The sequence below is a fragment of the Homo sapiens genome, chromosome 6, assembly GCF_000001405.40.
Source record: "Homo sapiens chromosome 6, GRCh38.p14 Primary Assembly".
NCBI classification, from domain to species: domain Eukaryota; kingdom Metazoa; phylum Chordata; class Mammalia; order Primates; family Hominidae; genus Homo; species Homo sapiens.
In genome coordinates, this window is record NC_000006.12 from 16,398,644 (window position 1) to 16,418,063 (window position 19,420).

Consider the following 19,420-nt stretch of genomic DNA (forward strand, 5'->3'; position numbering starts at 1 on the left):
TCCAGGAGTTATACAGCAAAAAAGAAGAAAAAAATCCCTGCCTTTTATCAGATATGTACACATTTTATCCTTGCAATATGTCTAAAATGATTTTATGACTAAATCCTGGGAAAAATGTGAAGAATGCTTGGCTAGATGGCAAGCTTTTCCAGTAAAAACACAACACTGCTTATGAATTGTAGCACTTGGAGAAGACTTTTCAACATGATGTACATTTTTGCTCTAGCTTGAGACTAAATCCTGTTTGGAGGTAGGTTTTCTTTGGCTTTCAGAAAAAGTTGAACCGATTGTACAACATGGGTCTTTGGGCCCTCCAACGTGGACTCACCATGAGAGGACGATCGTGTGCTATTCCATTAAACATGCCTCCGTCTCACGACTCCAGCCAGGGTTAAAACCTTCAGATGTTTTCTCAACACATTAAGCAGAACTAACCATCACAAAGGCAAAAACTAAACCCATCTGTCCCCTTGTCAGGATTTTTGAGATTGTCAATGGACTGACCTTGTGGCTGGAAAACATTTTGGAGGCCGTGTAACAAAAGTTAAATGTGGCAGTGAATGCACAGAGAAATTCTTAGAGGTCACTAGTGAATTACTAACACCATTACCCTGGCAAGAGATGATGGAGTTTCCATTTTATCTCAGAGGTTTGGTGGGTGTATGGTGATGACTTAAAATGACGTTAGGCTACGTAGCCAACACTTTCTTGGAAAGGACTTTCCCTGCTGTTCTATTAAAACTGTCAGCAAATAGGGCCAAGGCGCTCACTGGTCTATGCCGAGGACACCTTAAAGTAATCAGGCCGTCAAATAAAGGCAAACACTTTCTCAACATTTCTAAAGACAGAAATAGCGAAAAGAGTGTTGCGTTCCAAGCATATCAGACTTAAGTCATTTCTGCCTCATGGTTCTAGAAGACAAGAGGTGGAGGTGGCAGCAAGCGGGGAGGGAAGACACATAATTCTCCTTCTAACCCTCTGGCTCTCAACCGGAAGCAATTTTGCTCTGCAAGGGACACCTGGAAGTGTCTGAGGACATTTTTGATTGTCACAACTGCCGGGTGCTACCAGCATCCAGCGCATAGAGGCCAGGAATGCTGCTAAATTTCTCCCAATGCACGGGACACCTCCACCCCCTCCATCTCCCTGCTTCCCCAAATAGGATGATCTGGGCCCCAAATGTCAACAGTGCTGTTGAGATTCCCTGCTCTAAAGGGAAGCAGAAAAGATCAGCTGCAGCCAGAGAATTTTCCATTGACCTTCTAACTGTTGCCTGGGCTCCTGGAGGACATCCTCTGAAGATGCTTGTTTCCTTGACCTAAACGCTAGCCTCACCATGGCCCACAGCCCAGCAGCATCAGCATCACTAGGGAGCATGTGGGAAATGCAGAATCTCAGGTCCCACCCAGACTGACAGAACCAGAATGTGCATTTCCACTAGAACGCTGGGGGCTTCCTAGACACTTGAAACTTTCAGAAGCACCAGACAGACCTCTCTCACCTATCCTTAGGTCTGTCTGTCCTTCTATTCACTCAGTATTAATTATTTCCACTCTGCCCTCTGAATACACAGTAATCTAGTAAAAAGTAGCTCTCTTCTTGCTTCAGCCTTTCCTCAGAACATTCTCTCCAACCCAGACTGTAACCTTGGCTCCCTGCAGACAGCCCTGTTTCTCCTACAGCCCTCTGAGGTGGAGAGAGCTCAACCTCCCAAGCCCCTGTTCAGGGCTCCGTGGCTACTTCCTCTATCCTCATTCGAAAATTCCTTCTCTTCTGACCACGTGGCCATGGCCAGACCACATGGCCATTGGCTTCCATTTATTGTTGCAAGGTACAAGTTTTCAAGCCAGTTCTAGGTACCTGGATCATGGCATTCCTATTTGCCCTCAACCCAACTGTGGAATTCTCCAGTGACTATGTGGATGACATCTTACACAAGAATTCCTGGTTCCTGAACCTTTTCTACAGTGGCAACAACCACATTCCCCTTCAGAACATTCATTTGTTAATCCAATATTTATGATGTGTCTCTTTCATATCTGACTGTGTGCTAAAGATATTAAGATTACCATATTGTCCTTGTTCTCAATGAGCTTACAGTCTAAAAGAGGGAGGGAGGGAGAAGTATTTTGGCACTAGAAGGAGCTTCGGGAATTACAAGCCAGAGAAAAGCTCAAAGAAGGTCATGGTCTACTTTTTGGCCATTTTTATTGGCTAACACTCCAACCCAGTAGTTCCCACATGCTGGTCTGAGAACCAGGGCCAATCCGTGGAAATGAAGAAAAATAAAGACAACATAGTAAATGTACCATAATATTAAATTTCTAGGACTTACTCTGATATTATATTATTTTCACTTTGGGGATGTTAAAATATCCCTTCCTTTTTAAAAAGATTAGAAAACTTATTTTAAAGTGTCCAGTGTCCTTACATTAAAATAAAGAGTTGACCCACATATGCTAGTACCCCATTAATTTTCTAAAACTCATCCTTGAAACCTGGAAGTGGCTTTCCAGGTCTACATGGGAGGGGCTTGCTTAGGCCAGGGACAGTCTGGTTGTAGCGAGGGTTGGCAAGACTTGCTTTGAAGCCACATTTGCCCGTCTCTTTACACAACATGGGAAGTCATTAATTGTTCTTCATAAAAGATTCAATGTGCCAAGTCAAGCCTGGGGGACCAGGCTCACACCTGTAATCCTGGTGTTTTGGGAAGCTGAGGCAGGAGGATCACTTGACACCAGGAGGTCAAGATCAGCCGGAGAAACAAGGTGAGACCCTTGACTCTAAAAAACATAATTTAAAAATTTAAAAAAAATAGCTGGGTGTGGTACATGTGCCTGCAGTCCCAGCTACTCAGAGGCTGAGGGTGGAGAATCGCTTGAGAGAGCTGTGGCTAGGACTTTTAGTTGGGGCAGATGAAATGGTCTAAGGTTAGACAGCAACAAAAACAACTTTGGCAGATTTTGCCTCCATTGGGAAGAGTGCTCCTGGTGGACACACTTTGAGTCTCAAAAAGGAAAATAATGTTGACTTTTAGCTCTTCAGTTCTCAGCAGTTACAACAAAAGTACTATGTTTATATCTCATGAGTGTAACTGAATATTTTTCCCCTTTAGGGTCAAGGGCTCTGTCTCAGGGATCACTTGTTTCTTAAATCTCAGGCTGCTACATTTTCTCAACCACCAGTCGTATTAGTCCATTTTTATGCTGTTGATAAAGACATACCCGAGACTGAGCAATTTACAAAAGAAAGAGGTTTAATTGGACTTACAGTTCCACATGGCTGAGGAAGCCTCTCAATCATGGTGGAAGGCAAGGAGGAGCAAGTCACATCTTACATGGATGGTGGCAGGCAAAAAATGAGAGAGAGCTTATGCAGGGGAATGCCTCTTTTTAAAACCATCAGATCTCGTGAGACTTATCCATTACCACGAGAACAGCATGGGAAAGACCTGCCCCCCATGATTCAATACCTCCCACCAGGTCCCTCCCACACACATGGGAGGTCAAGATGAAATCTGGGCAGGGACACAGCCAAACCATATCATCAGTTGATCTATATGGCTGGAAAAAACAAGACTTCTCGCCAACCACTGACAGTTTTTTTTTTTTTTTTTTTTTTTTTTTTTTTTTTTTTTGCTTCTAGTTCTAATGCTTGGTCATTAATTTCTCTAGAACTCAGAATATATTTGATGCACATTATTGACTGTTCTCCTTCCTTTTTATTTACCCTTTAATGTTTTCACAAAACAGGGACAATGTGCATAGGCCAGAGGATTTTATGGTTTTTCTAATTCGTTTTTAAAACTTACGAGACAACTGGCTTATAGCAATTTTCCAGTTAACAACACGAACACAACCCACAAGCCAAGAACAACAGAAGAGGAGAGACAGAAAGAACATAAAACATTACTTATGAGATCTTTCCCACTGCTTAGCACCAGATCTATAATGCATGCAAGGCTTAGCTGGAACAAATGATGAAAGCTGTTCCTCCTTTCAAGGGAGGATCATTTACATGGGCCCAGACCACTCCTGTTCTCATTTATTCAACTTCCAGCCCTCACTGACATTAACCAGGAGCAGAGAACATCTGGTGTCAGAACCAACTCCCGCTGTGCCCAGGGCTGTTGTCTCACTGTTGCAGAAAAGGCCAGAGGGCAAGGCTGCTTGGCTGAAGATGGGCCTCAGAGGTTCTGGGCTTTTTATGGAATTAGGCATGGGAAGCAGCTTTGCTCTCCTACATCAAACGTTATCTTAACTCCACAGAAAAAATTCACGAACTCCAAAACCTTCCTCTTGACAACCAGAGGAGGAAGGTGGTTTTAACCCAGTCTGAATTCAAATCTGTAGATAGTGAATTTTTTTTAACTCTCTTAAAACAGCGCTTTGAATTTTGAACATCTTGATTATATATACATACACATGTAGATGTGCACGTGTATGTATGTATGGATATAAATACATACGTCACACATGCACACACATGTACACACACATACACTCAGAAAGACTGGGACTCTGGCAGGAACCAGAATTCTGCCACATCCCAAACCTAGCAGACCAAGTTCAACTTTGGAAATGCATCATCACCTTCACGCCAGAATCACAAACACACGGGCAAGAGGTTGAAATCCCAGGTCCTCGGCTTCTCAGCTGACACATCAGAGTTTATGCGTTTTCTAAGAAGAGGAAGTTATTCAAGCTCTTTAAAAAAAAATTTTTTAAGACAGGGTCTCACTTTGTCACTCAGGTTGGAGTGCAGTGGTGTAATCTCAGCTCACTTCAGCCTTGACCTTCTGGGTTCAAGCAATTCTCCTGCTTCAGCCCCTTAAGTAGTTGGGACTACAGATGCATGCCAATACACCTGACTAATTTTTGTATTTTTAGTAGAGATGGGGTTTCGCCACATTGGCCAGGCTGGTCTCGAACTCTTGAGCTCAAGTGATCCTCACACCTTGGCCTCCAAAAGTGCTAGGATTACAGGCGTGAGCCATGGCGCCCGGCCCTAAGCTCTTTAAATGCAGCAACTTTCATACCATATTTATTACCCTGTCCCCTCCTGAGTCCCATCCTCTGACCACTTCATCTTCTTCTACCTCCAAAACTCTCCTCATCCTGAAAAAAAGCACAGACAGCAGGAATGGACAATCTATAGGTTGTGGGGCTGCATGTGATATTTCTGGCTTTCACGTTCTGTTCTTGAAGTAAGCTTAAAGACAATAACATACTCTCCCTGCTATGGTTAAAAGAATTCTTAGGATCTTTGGGAAAAAAAAAAATCTCAAAGTAAATATGACAATATAGAGACACTGGAGGGAGCTCTAAACATCTAGTGATAGGAAAAATGCTGAAATTATGTATCCTAAAATTGAAAAGTTACTGCTTTGTGGGATAATATGGTAAATTCTGGCTTTTAGTCATCTCTGTGCCCATTCTTAATACTGATTCAGAGCAGAAGATAGTTAACCATATCAACGTGTGTGCATGCGGGGCAGGAGGTGGGGGGAGCAAATAAAACTATCTTAAACATATGACTCTTTACCCAAAAAAGGAGGCCATTTATTCTTGGCTTCCACAGGGCCTCTGAAAAGTATACTCTGAAAATATTTTCTTGGAGAGTTCTTTAAAGCAGAAAGATTTAAGAGGCAGGAACATAACAAAGGAAGTACTGGACCAAAGTGAGCCTTGTTTGAACTGAGCATGTTTTGTTTTCACATTTTCCACTAAAAGGTGCTTTGTCCTTTGGGAGGAATGTGCCCTCTTCATCCCACCTTTCCCTCCCAGAGCCCCCAGCAATGAGAGGGCGTCTGGTTCACATCTGTCAGGTCCAGAACCTGACTAAGCACAAGTTCTGTCCTGATGGGACTCAAGAGATGCTGAGTGAGGGGGCATTTTGACACCCTTGGGGTTCCTGTCACGCTCAGCTTCCTGCTCGACTTTTACCAGAGTCTGCCTGGTAAAGTCTTTCCTCCAGTTAAGGTCCCTGGGTTGTATTCAAGCTGTCCCCAGCCCCCACCACATGTGCACCATACGCACATGCACGCGCACTCGCGCGCGCGCACACACGCACACACACTCCACGTTGTTAGTTTTCTGGGTCATTTCCTGTGAAATGTCACTGTTCCCTCTTTAGTGGCCGGATCTCAGCCTGGGAGTCCGACTGAGAGCAAGGGGCTGTCGGTACAGCCTGGGGAGAGGGTCCCACCCCCACCTCACACCAGATTTTGTATTAATAATAATCACGTCTCCACTCACCTGTTTCTAGCCTGGGAAACTTTCTTCCTTCATTCAGCACTATTTATTGCACACCTAAAACATTAATGCTACTGTGTGGGGCTTGGAAGATGTCCTGGTGTTTGGGTACTTTCTCAGAAGCAAGACTTTCTCATTTGGGTCTCTGAATATCAAATGTGACCAGCCAACAAGTATGTACATTTCAGTCCCTCACCTTTTCCTGGAGAATAGAGTTTGATATGAACATTAAGTGGATTTACATCAGTGCTCCTCAGCACACACGACAGAAAATATATCTGCTCTGGACTAATAAGTATATCACAGGCACAAACAACTCTGTAGCCAACTTTTGATTAAAGACACAGTCTCTACCATTAAGGAGCAGCGCATCTATATCACACCAATAAAAGCCAAGAGTCCTAGCAGTTTGCTACAAACGACTACGTAGTGAGAGTTAGGAACTATTCTGGATTCTGTATTTTATCCTAAAGACCTTTATTTAAATTTTCCAGCCTATCTCCTTCCCATTCCACTCAGTCTCATTTGACATTGCTTCCCCCAAGTCCACTGTGATGTCATGCACCTTGTGGATGGCAATGATCTGTGCTATAATTCAAAATGCTCTCAGGGAGCTGGGAGCAAAGAGAAAACACATTGGTGATGCAGGAAGCAATAAAACAATCTGTTTGAAAAGCACAGGTTTCATAAAATGTTAGCGCTGGAATGGAAGCGATTTCAGAGATGAACTCTTGCAAGCACTCTGGCGGCCGAAGCATCCAAATTCCTGGTTGCTGTGGTTGGCTGGAGGAGTCTACAACCCCAACTCCTGCCTTTGACTCTTATCATAGACTGCTTGCAGCTCATCCTGTCCTTGGACTTGCCTAATATTTGTGCATACCATGTGCGAAGTACTGCTAATGTCCTTTACGCTCATGAAATCAGTGCTCAGCTGAAGACATTAAATTTACTGGCGGTGAAAGAAAAGTCGGGAAATGGAAAGAGGTGCTGGAACGGGGGCTGGGAAGGAAGGCCGCACTGCAGTGCTCTTGGTGGGGTTAACTCTGCTCCCTACTGCTTCATGAAATGCCAGTGTATGAACCATAGCATGTGAAGGACCTTTTACTGCACAATGTTCACTCTCAGAAAGAAAATACTATAAACCTGTGTTTGAGCTATTTCTCTTGCTTTCAATGCAGATTTAGCTGATTGTTCAACGTGAGGTCTTAAAACAACCCTCTCTCTTCACAGCCTTATCTTCTTTTCTCTCTCTTTTTTCTCCCTATGACTTTCCTTCATTAAGTTAAAATGAGAGACTAAAAAAGTGGAACATGTGAAGGAATGATGAGGTCAACAGCATTCTCAGATTCCTTTCTCTCTAAATTAATCATACCAAGGAGAACCCAAGTTAAATAATTTTTTCAAGAATCTAAATAAAACTTTAAATAAAGCTTTATTTGGTTTTACTCACAGCCAACCAATAATTGAGTCATCTCTATTTTTAAAGTAATGTGAAGATCAGTTAGTTCAAACCTAACGGATACCGGGCATTCATAACTTTTGAGGGCATTACTAGACACCCTATTTCCTTAATGTAAAAAGTAAAGTAGAGGTTCCTCTTCAAAGATTTTCCTCCCCATCTAATTAGGAATTAATAGTACTTTCTCTTAGAAGCAAAATTTATTCAAAGACCTGTGCTAACATTCTTAAATATCTGCTAGCTGTAATAAAGAAATCAATGTACTTTATGTTCTTAGCTCCCACAATTTAGCCTAAATATTTACCCTAGCATGCTTATACTGGTCCAAGCAAGCATTAGGTCATAGCCTGTTCCTCTTCCTTATTTGAAGGTTTTTTACCTTTCTCAGCATTTCACAAGTTACTTCCTCCTTCCTTTGTTCTCTTCTGCTTTTGCTGCTTTTAAAAAGTTCTAAGCTGCTAGCCATTCGGGACAAATACAGAATGTGAGGTCCCATTCCAGCCAATGGAAACTGGACATAGCAGTAGGGTGGACGCGTCAGGTTATAATGACCCTGTCTCCTTTGTTCCGTGTACTCTTGTGGCAAAACTGCTGGCAAGTGTACCCTTTCTGCAGAAAGTAAAAATGGTCTTGCTGAGGAAATTAAATTTATGTTCAAGGTCTATTTCTTTACAGCACCAAAGAACAAGCATTTCTAACACTTAAGATGTGTACTATGGAATCAGATTTGTAAAAGTTCACAGCGGCAGGAGACTAGTGATCATCCATGAGGAAGTTATAGCTCAGAGAGATAATGGGCATGCCTGAGATCACAGAGTAATGACTGTTAACTTGGCTTCATTTTAAAAGATTGTGTTGTGGGCACTACCCTTATCTTAAAGTCTTAACTTCATGTTAATGAAACAAATACATTATTAAATTTTTTAAATGTTCTCCTCTAAGGATATGCCTTTATGATTCAAAATAATATGGTCGGAATGAATGGGAAGGATACTGCTGTGTCCACCAGTGCCTAACTGGACATTTAAATGGCAGAAGCTCTTCTTCCAATGGCACATTGAAATCACTGAGAGATGACCTTCTCATAGTAAGGCTGTCCTAAGGAATATGTTGAAACATGCTCCTCAAAAGTATCTGTATCAACTTTTGGATGCTGAAGCTGGTTTTACTCACAACATCTGGTTTGCTTATATAGCATATCAATTCAATTAGATATTAAAAGGTACTTATTTAGTTGGTGAAGTTGAAATGCAGAGAGGAGACTAAAATTCCCAGGGGCACAGTTGTGGAGTTAGGCTAGAAAGCTGTGCTCTTAAATCCCAGGCCAGTAGCTTTTCATCATTAGACTATGTAGCTAGAAGCCCCATTGGAGGGTCTGAGCTGCAGACACACGGTTAACCCAGGCAAATCAGGTCTCATCTGGGCATCTCTGGATACGTCTGGGTGGCCTGTGAAGTGGATGGATGTTCTGTTTGTGTGGAGGCCTGTTTGATGAGCCTCCTGGAAGAAAAAGAAACAGGCAGTGACAGGAAACCTGCCAGGGATAATGGTGCCATGTGGTATCTGAAGTCCAGTAATTCTTCAACCTTCTTAGCAGCTTGCTGTGTGAGGAAGGAACTGACCCAGAGTGGTTGGGTTAAGGTGCATCTGCTAGGCATGCGGGATTGGGGGCATGGGGGTGTCAACAACAGGGGATATAACATTAGGAATATCTACCAACCCAGCCCCTTGGGGAGGGGTGCAGGAAGAGACCGTGGGGCCATAAAGAACCTGAGGCCACCATGTTTTGTGGTCTCAGAAGAGAACTTTCACCACTCAGGAATAGAGAGGACACATATCCCTGCTGTACTTGGCAACAAAATAAAAGAAGAACCGATCATCAACCCTCATGACATCACAGGGCAGAAACGGGAGTTGATAATAACATTCGAGAAGGGGGTCTGGGGCCTTGTGAAATCTCAGTTACTTCGTGTCTCCTTTAAATAAACTATAGTTATTTTAAATAGTGGCCTCACCAAAGCCTGCTTTCACACTGATTTCTCCCATTTCTATATCCATTCCATTATTAAGTATGTTAAAGAAGTATTGTCTTAAATACTTTCCTTCATCAAGTGAGAACCCTGGAAGAAGATGAGAATGAGGAACATGATGAGGATGGTAAAAAAAAAAAAAAAAGTTAACAGTAACTCAGGCCTATCATCTGACAGGCACTAAGTGTGTATCACGTATTTTGTCACTTACAACCTTTTCAGGGTTTTAATGATAAGGAAAGTAAGGATAATGTGGTTAAATAACTTATGCAAATTGAAAAACATTTGACATTTATTTTCTCACAACTAATAAGTAGCTGAAGTAGAACTTGAACCCAAGTGTGTTTAATTCCAATTTTAAAAAACCTGTTTTTTAGAGTTGAGGTCTCTGTCATCCAGGCTGGAGGGTAGTGGCATGTTCTTAGCTCACTGCAGCCTCAATCTCCTGGGTTCAAGCGATCCTCCTGTCTCAGTCTGCTGAGTAGCTGGGACTACATGGATGAGCCATCATGCTTTGCTTAATTCCAAAATTTAATTCTTACCTTGGCACCCAAGAGGGTGTTTGGCACACAGTAGGTGCTTCATAAAAATTGGTGACTGAACAAATAAAAAGAATACATGGGTTCTAAGGTTTAGTCAATCAAATGGTGCAATGAGCCTCATTCTTCACCTAAACTGGTTAAGTATACCTCAGTCATTTAACCTAATAGAAACAGTCATTATAATCAAATAATGTCACAGGATCGATATTTCCTGCTAAGGAATAAATGACTCGGACTTGCTTTGACATTTATTTTCTAAAACTTACTCAGTTTTGCCCCGATATTTATACATCAGCAGGAGATGGTTACCCCGAGAAGCTGCTCTGTTCCACACAATTGCCTTAGCGTCTGTCCTCTTTATGAAACTAAAAAAAAAAAACCACAGTAACTGTAGTTGTTATGAGCACCAACATTTTAAGTCTAATTAAAAATTTGACTTGCTGGCCAGGCACCGTGGCTCATGCCTCTAATCAAAGCACTTTGGGAGGCAGAGGCAGGTGGATCACTTAAGGTCAGGAGTTCAAGACCAGCCTGGCCAACATAGTGAAACACTGTCTCTACTAAAAATACAAAAATTAACCTGGCGTGGTGGCTCACGCCTGTAGTCTCAGCTACTCGGGAGGCTGAGGCAGGGGAATAGCTTGAACCTGGGAGGTGGAGGCTACAGTGAGCTAAGATCGTGCCACTGCATTCCAGCCTGGGCAATAGAGTAAGACTAGGTCTCAAAAAAAAAAAAAAAAAAGAACTCGACTTGCCGTTTATGCAATTTCAAAAGCTGGCTTTTGTAGGTCTAAAATTGTTGTAAGACAATTTTAAAAGCTTCCAGACGTGCAGAATCTGGGGCTCTTCTTTGCCCCCCACCCCACAGCCTCACATGTCTTGGTTTGCGGCTTTTAAACAGCGAGTTCTAGAGAAGTTCCACAAAACTGTGCTCCACCTGCTGGCCTTCTGGGGAAGCTGCGTCTGGGCTGATGATGCTGGTTGCGGGTTGAGCGAAAACAAGGAACAGATTTGAGTTTGTCCAAAGCATGCTTGGTACTTGAAAATTAACCCTTCAAGACTGGGCATGTGTCCAGTGATGCTCTGAAGCTGGCAAAGATGAGCATCAAATCACCAGACGTGCATGGAGAGCATGAGCTGAACGACCGTCGTGATAGGCTTGGCAGAGGATGAAGCAGAGGGTGGCACCGGAGCCCTACCTGGGTGCTGGCACTGCCTCGGCCTCTTGCTTACTATGACGCCGTGTGAATCACAGCATCTAGCGGCCCTCCTTCCCCCTTACTATGACTTCCAATTTTGAAATACTGTGACTCTGCTGTGTACTTAATTGACATCTCTTTCTGAAGGAATTTACAATCCAGTTGATGATGTAAGACCCACTATCATAAGCCAATTAGAGAACCAAACAAGTGCTGAAGGGACCCCTATGGAGGCAGAGAACCTGAAATGAACAGTGAAGACTAAATCTGACTTACAAAGGTGAGGAGCAGGGAGTACATTTCTTTCCTAATGCTTGCACTGGGATTTCTGACGAATACCTCAGAGGCTATGTTGGGCTTTTTCTGATGTAGCGATATTTTGGAGATTATGGTTCAACCAGTGATTTGTCTAAACCTGTTTGAGGATTCTTTCTAACATATCATTCCCTTCCCTACATAAAGATAATATGCAAAAAATCCAAAAGGGTGCAATCATTTGTTTTACTAGAATCTTCTTTATGTTCTAAAGTCTTAATCATGCATTTCTTTCAAATTGTGAGCCTCCAATGAACTACAAGCTTGTCAGAATTACATCTATTCAGGTCATATACAACATCCGTGGAGCAAAGTGAATTTGAAGTTAAGTCTCCTCTTAGTGTAGCAGTACGTATTTTGAATGAGAACGGCCAGTGCTAAAGATGGAAAATAGGTGGGTGGCCAGGCACAGTGGCTCACGCCTGTAATCCCAGCTCTTTGGGAGGCCAATGCAGGCGGATCACTTGAGGCCAGGAGTTTGAGACCATCCTGGCCAACATGCTGAAACCACGTCTCTACCAAAAATACAAAAATTAGCCGTGTGTAGTAGCACATGCCTGTAGTTTCAGCTACTTGGGAGGCTGAGGCAGGAGAATTGCTTGAACCTGGGAGGCGGAGGTTGCAGTGAGCTGAGATCACACCACGGCACTCCAGCCTGGGTGACAGAGTGAGACCTCTGTGTCAAAAAAAAAAAAAAAAAAAAGAAAAGAAAAGAAAAGAAAAAGATGTAAAATAATTTGAAAACAAAAGCCTAAAGATGCTTGCTGAAATCAGCTATTAGTCTGTTCTCTTCAGGAAAATGACATATTATGCATAATTAATAATAATAATAACATAACTAATTTTATGTCTTATTGACTCTAAGGTATGGCTATCTCTATTTACTACTACCTCATATGACTTTAATATTGATATTGAATTAAAGTCAGTGCAAGATCTGTAGTACATTAGTAAGTATGCAAAAATGGGAAATTGAAGCCCTGTTTATAGGTGGTACTCAGAGAAGGCCCAGGGTTGTTGGTGCCAACTGGAAAAAGTTTATATCTGATTATATTAATAGCAACATTGATCTGGCATTTTGCCCTGGCATAGTTTTTTACCTTCTTGAAGGTTAAAAAAAAAAAATCTCCCTGGCTGCATCAGGATTTAAGACATTGGGGAGAAAGAAAGGATAAAGAGGGAACAAGGGCAAAGATGAGGATCATTGAAGACGTTCAAGGATAATTAAACTTCTGCCCATAGCTGGCCTGGGGGAGAAATGAATGTCACCGTAGTATGGATGTGGCTGGCTCACAGTGTGAAGAGAGAAGACCTTGTTTCCAGTCATTCACAGCCCTGTTGAGATATACCTTCATGCCTAATTCCTTCACCCTCTGAAGTCCAACATTATTTAATTGATAAGATATGCCACATATCATCTTGTCCTTTGTGTTTAAGTTGTTCTTATTAATATGTATGTCTTATCTCCCTTAGTAGATTGTCAGCTTCTTGAGGTTATCTTGAATGTTTTAACTCAGCTCTCTCTCTCGCACTATCTTGCTTAGGGAAGACACCCAATAAATATTAGTTGAAGACATGACCAAGTGCATGAAGTACTGTATAGGCTTGCTAAATAAGGGCAGTAAAAATGCCATTGGATCTTGTAGGCAAATTCTGAGGTTGTAACGGATGAAATTAATATAAATGTTGATTCACTGAATTGTGAACTATAGAATATGAACCCTGTCAATAGGAGAAACCTTTCTAAAAGCCTTCTTCTTTGTTGTGCATGTTTTTAGGGATTCAGTCCAGAACTTTCACCCGGAAACTCAAAACAAGAAATTTAGTTTGAAATAAATCAGGTCTTAACAAGTGAGAGACTATTAAGATTAACAGACTGTCTTGGACAGCCTCCTGCGTGTCCCTTATCATCTAAAGGGTTACTACTAGACTACATCCTTTTCTGCTTTATCTCAGAGGCCCATTAAAGCATGTAACCAGACTGCTCAGATTCATACTATACTAATTTTCTCTTTCCAAAAGAAACCAAACAACAAAATAAAACTCCACCAAGTGACTAAACTAAATTCAAATATCCATACAATTCTATCCACGGCAACAGCGTCAGTTTCTCAGAAATTTCATTGCCAGGCTCCCCCACTTCAATGGACAATAGAAGAAAATGTGCCTCAATGTCGCAAACTTCAGTGCCGCTCAAGGAGCTAATTAAATCTCCTAGGATGCCCTCACCCACACCCTAAGAAATTTGAAGGGTACGCAAAATCCAAACTCAATTCAACACCATTAAAATAAAAGGCCTTTACATATAAAGCTTAATCTTGACTTTCTTTGTCCTTTTCTCCCCACAAAGTAGTAGATTTCCAAATTCCCCAAAGGTCATGAGTTTGGCAATGGAACAATGGCATCCCCAGAGTGACTGCCTTGGGGAGAGAGTTTGCTCCTCTCTTGGCCATGCCGTGGGGGCTGTTGTCTCTCTTGGGAGCTGCAAGCATCATCAAAGTGGATGAGGGCTGGCCACAGCAAGAAGTATGGTCTCTGTCCTATAGTTTTCTAGTGTTAGGGTGATGAGGTCTCTATCTATTCACAAGAAGAAAAAGAGTCATCCTAAACCATTCCCAAACTATGTTAGAAATGAAGAAAGGGGAAGGGAAATAGCACTTGCTGAGCACTTCGTTTAAATGTGCCAGTCATTATGCTGCATATTTTATATTTAATCCTCACACAACCCTACAAAGTAGAAATGATGACTCTATTTAAAGACAAACTGAAACTCAAAAGAACTTCCTCGAAATGATACAGTTAGCACATTATGGATGCAGAATTCAAACCCAGGCCTGTCTAGTTCTTAAATCCGTGTTCTTCCCATATACCATGCTGCCTCTCAAAAGGAAACACTGTTTTTGTTTTTTTTTTAAGGTACAAATATAGTTTGTGCATTTGGAAGAAGATGCGGCTCGGGACCCATTCTTTTTGTTATAGGCTTGTGCTATAAACATCCATCTTACTCTTAGTTTGACCTTTGTGCCGTGGGCTCATGTCTGTAATACAGGAACCCAATCATTTCTGAAAGTCTGTCTAACAGTGATATTGTGTGCAGCAAATGTTTAATGAATGGATGAGTGAATGTGAATCAATGGGTGGGGGAATAAATAAATAAATGAATGAATGAAAGTGAAACTGACGAGCCCATACTGGGACTGAATCGGCAATGTGGGCCTCCTGAAAGCACTGCATGTTAATCACTACTTTTTTGAGCTTTGTGACATGATGTTTGGGTGTCTGGAGAAAAATCCTGTGTGGTGGTGGTCTGGGCTTTTTTACTGACGCAATGGCCCACCTGATATAATTTTGATTTCCATCAGCCACTAAACTTAGCCTGAAGACAAAATTTCCTTTGAAAGGATTCAGCTTAGGGGAACAGATAATAAGGAGGTGGTTATTTGGGGAAACAAGAGTTACTTTACATTCCTATAACATATTTCTAAAAATGAAACATTCTCAAAGCTGGAAAGTAAGGAAAATCAAACATTGCTCTACTTGGGGTTTTGAAAATGGAACATTGATTGTTTGTAAAAGTGATGCTTAATTTGGAGGATAAGAAGCGAACTTCTTTCTATAGCCTCAAGGAGCTAATTAAAATGTGACACGGCAGTGATTATATACTTAGAGGTATCGATAGGTCCTCATTTTTCCACAGCACAGATAATCTCACGCCAGCTCTCACCTATATTAAGTGTTAGACACTTGGTACAGGAACGGATTTCTGCTCTTCCCTATCTCTCACTGTTCAGGGACCTTTGGTCAGTTCCTCAGCATATTGTACCCTAAATGAGGTGATGAGACAGCATCGAGCCAACTGAACTATCAGAGAGTGAGGTCGTAATGCTTATCGGTCACTGTTAAAACCCATCCAACCCATTTTGGTATGATTCTTGCAGTTACTAAGGCCTGGCCTTCATTCTCTCTCCACTCAGAATTCACTTTAAGCTATTATAAGAAAGCTAAAGATAAAACAGCTTCTGCATAATGAAACACTAATCCCCAGAGTGTGACGCCCACGACACAAATGAATGCTAGACAGAAGATAACCAAATGTCTAGACTTATTCAAACCTGCTTCTCATAGTTCAAACTTGTACTCACTGCTTCATCAGCTTATGAACCATAAACTGATTTAAAAACACACATGCAAAACTGAACAACAACAACAAAAAAACGCTAAACCCAGTAGAGCCTCTTCACTCAGGCCTTTTTATTTGAGTTTATCTATCCGAATGCAGTAATGCCTCCTTAAGCAGACACAGCTTACTGAAAATATACACAATTTGTAGCATCTGAAAGAGAATATGGCCTTTGTCCTTCTTTCTACTCAATATGTTGGTGGACTGGAATGTTTCCAATGTAGTCAATTTTTCTGGCTCTTTAAAATTAAATTAATAAAAGTATACAATTTAAGGATCTATAGATTTGTGTTCAGCACAATGGACTAAAAGTTGAGCTACTGGATTCTAGAACAAAATGTCACTTATAATTAGCTGAGTATATATGACATCTCAGGCATTGTACCAAGGGCCCAGAAAATTACCTCATTTCATTTTTATAATTTTCAGAAGCACCCACTTTCCTAGCTAGGATACCTACCAATTGTGTTCTTGGGCAAATTATCTTCTATCTTGGTTTGTACAACAGAAGAAGAAATTATTTTAAAATATATGGAATATAATAAAATAGAAATTTGGCCAATTAATTAATATTAGGCAGTGAAACAATAAGTGGTTTTTTTGTTTGTTTGTTTTTGGTTTTTTTGAGACAGGGTCTCACTCTGTCGCCCAGACTGGAGTGAAATGGTGCGATCTCGGCTCACTGCAACCTCTGCCTCCTGGGTTCAAGAGATTCTCCTGCCTCAGCCTCCCGAGTAGCTGGAACTACGGCACCTGCCACCATGCCCGGCTAATTTTTTGTATTTTTAGGAGAGATGGGGTTTGGCCATGTTGGCCAGGATGGTCTCGAACTCCTGACCTCAGATGCTCCACCCTCCTTGGCCTCCCAAAGTGCTGGGATTACAGGCGTGAGCCACCGCGCCCAGCCCAAGTGGTTATTATTTCAACACAGAAGTCCTTGTTTACCCGAAGCAGCTGGGAAATAGGGCTTCGCATAAAACCAGAGCAGAAGTAGCAGAGAAAGGGACCTGTGAGTGAGTCCTGCCTGGTTCTCGGCTCACACTAGTCCAGCCTTGGGAAAGAGCTGGGACACCACAGGTAACCACCTTAATTTACCCTTTGCCTGTCTGGCGAAGACAAAGTAAACTGAGTGCCACTTTTATTAATGGGAAACCATCTTACTTATAGCAAAAACAAATGCTCAAACCTCATTCATTCTGCGGTTATCTGGATCCTTCATGCTGTAGGTAGGGAACAGAATGGGGCTCTGAGAGCTCCCTCCTCCGCGCCTCTGCTGGGAGCAAAAATAATCTCAAAACAGGAAAAAGAAGGAGGGGAAATTTTTAATCGTTTTTTTCCCTCCCTTCAGAATGAGTGGGGAGAATTATACATGGGCAGCTACATATGAGCCAGTACATATAAGTCAATAATGCAAACAGGATCGTCAGGAAAGTGTTTAATTTATTCACAAGAAGAACTACCAAGCTTTCAAAAAAAAAAAAAAAAAACCCAGGCTTTCTTCATCATCCATTTTGCAGTCAGTGTGCTGATAACAAATGGTCATTATCTAGTTTCTGGAAAGTAATGTCTATGAATTGGAAAAAAAAAATTGGTCAATAATTTATATGGCTATGTATACTTGAAGTAATGCAACTTATTTTCTTAGAAGGATCTCTCAATATAGATTAAATTAATGTAAAATGTAAAATGACTTCCTCCTAAAAAATCTAAATTAGAGAGATTTTATTGGCTCAATAATTAATACTGCATCACACATCTACTTTCCTCTCTGCCTTCTATCCCTGTGGCCTTTTACAGACAAAGCTTTTGCTATAACCATGGAGCACACAATAGTGCAAACTATAAAATATAAGAAAGTACAATACCTGCCTTACAGGGCTGTTGTGAGGACCTAATCAGACAATGCATGAAAAGTACTAAGTATAGTCCCTGGCCCAGATTAAGTATTCATAAATATCAACTGTAATTATTATTCCTTTTATATAAACTTTTATTTCATAGGGAGATGTTTCCTAAAGAAATCTCCTACTCATCTTGCTCGTACACCCTAAACGTTTAAAATAATCTCACTGTATCCAATACCTCTGACCCCTCTGAATCCCATCACATTTTCACCGCTTAGTTCATGGTTCCTATCTCTTCCTCACTGTGTTACAGCCGAGCTGGTACACACTGGAATTCCTGAATTCCTCTAGTAGGCCTTTAGTTTCCATAAAGCAGAAACCCCATACCGTGTATCATTGCATACTCAGTAGAATGTGGCTTTTATCTTGCATGGTGTAGGCTTTTAATAAGTATTTATTGAATGGATACATGAAGATATGAGTGAATAATGGAATAAATCCTGGGGCTCAACAGGCACCTAACCCTACAATATTTCTAATGTTTTGTCAACTTCCCCTAAGATATTATTTTATTTATTTTTTAGAGATGAGGTTTTGCTCTGTTGCCGAGGCTGGAGGGCAGTGGTGTAATCATAGATCACTGCAGCCTTGAACTGCTGGGCTCAAGTGATTCTCCCACCTCAGCTTCCCCAGTACCTGGGACTACAGGTATGCATCACCATGCTAGGCTACTTAAAAAAAAATTTTCTTTTGAGACAGGGTCTCACTATGTTGCCCAGGCTGGTCTTTAACTTCTGACCTTAGGCAATCCTCCTGCCTCAGCCTCCCAAGTCACTGGGATTACAGGCGCAAGCCACCACACCAAGCCCAATCAATAATAATTTCCAAGTTATGGCTTTTAATGGAAAGCAGAATAAGAAAGTCTTTCCTGATGTCTACTTCATCAAGTAGAGAGAGGGAGTTACAAGTTTCTTATTTTTTTTTTTTCTTGAGACGGAGTCTTGCTCTGTCACCCAGGCTGGAGAGCAGTGGCACGATCTCGGCTCACTGCAAGCTCCGCCTCCCAGGTTCAAGCGATTGTCCTGCCTCAGCCTCCCGAGTAGCTAGGACTACAGGCGCCCACCACCATACCTGGCTAATTTTTTGTATATTTACTAGAGACGGGGTTTCGCCATATTAGCCAGGATGGTCTCGATCTCCTGACCTCGTGATCCCCCTGCCTCGGCCTCCCAAAGTGCTGGGACTATAGGCGTGAGCCACCACACGTGGCCACAACTTTTTTTTTAATGGCCTAATCTGTTTCTCAGCATACGAACACTGTATCTCACTCCCAGACAACTGATGCCATTCATGCTTGAAGAAGAAATCCATGACCAGGTACCAAAGAAGGCTAAATATAAAGGCAGTTTTCTACCTGCCACTACCCTAGTTCATCCTCGAAGATTTGGTTCAAAAGTTAGCCTCTCAAAGGCCCTCCATATTATTCCACCCTGAACCTCAGAGCTCTTGAGGTTAAAAACTATGAGAAGGAATGGATGAGTAAATCAACGAATGAAGGTAAAGCATGTTGTTTGAGACAGGGTGATTAATGGGAGCA

The 19,420-nt window shown here is 41.8% G+C and overlaps 1 protein-coding gene across 3 annotated transcripts in view, besides 1 other annotated feature; it reads right to left on the minus strand.

Annotated features, from left to right (window-relative positions):
* The window catches only part of ATXN1 (ataxin 1), a 462,349-nt gene that overhangs the window by 99,532 nt on the left and 343,397 nt on the right, over positions 1–19,420 (minus strand). The window lies entirely within an intron of this gene.
* Positions 15,471–15,660: an enhancer, noted in NCBI's record as "active region_24103". NCBI's record gives its function as "activates an Ori minimal core promoter by ATAC-STARR-seq in GM12878 lymphoblastoid cells {active_cell/tissue: GM12878}" and the evidence as "EXISTENCE:reporter gene assay evidence [ECO:0000049][PMID:35858748]".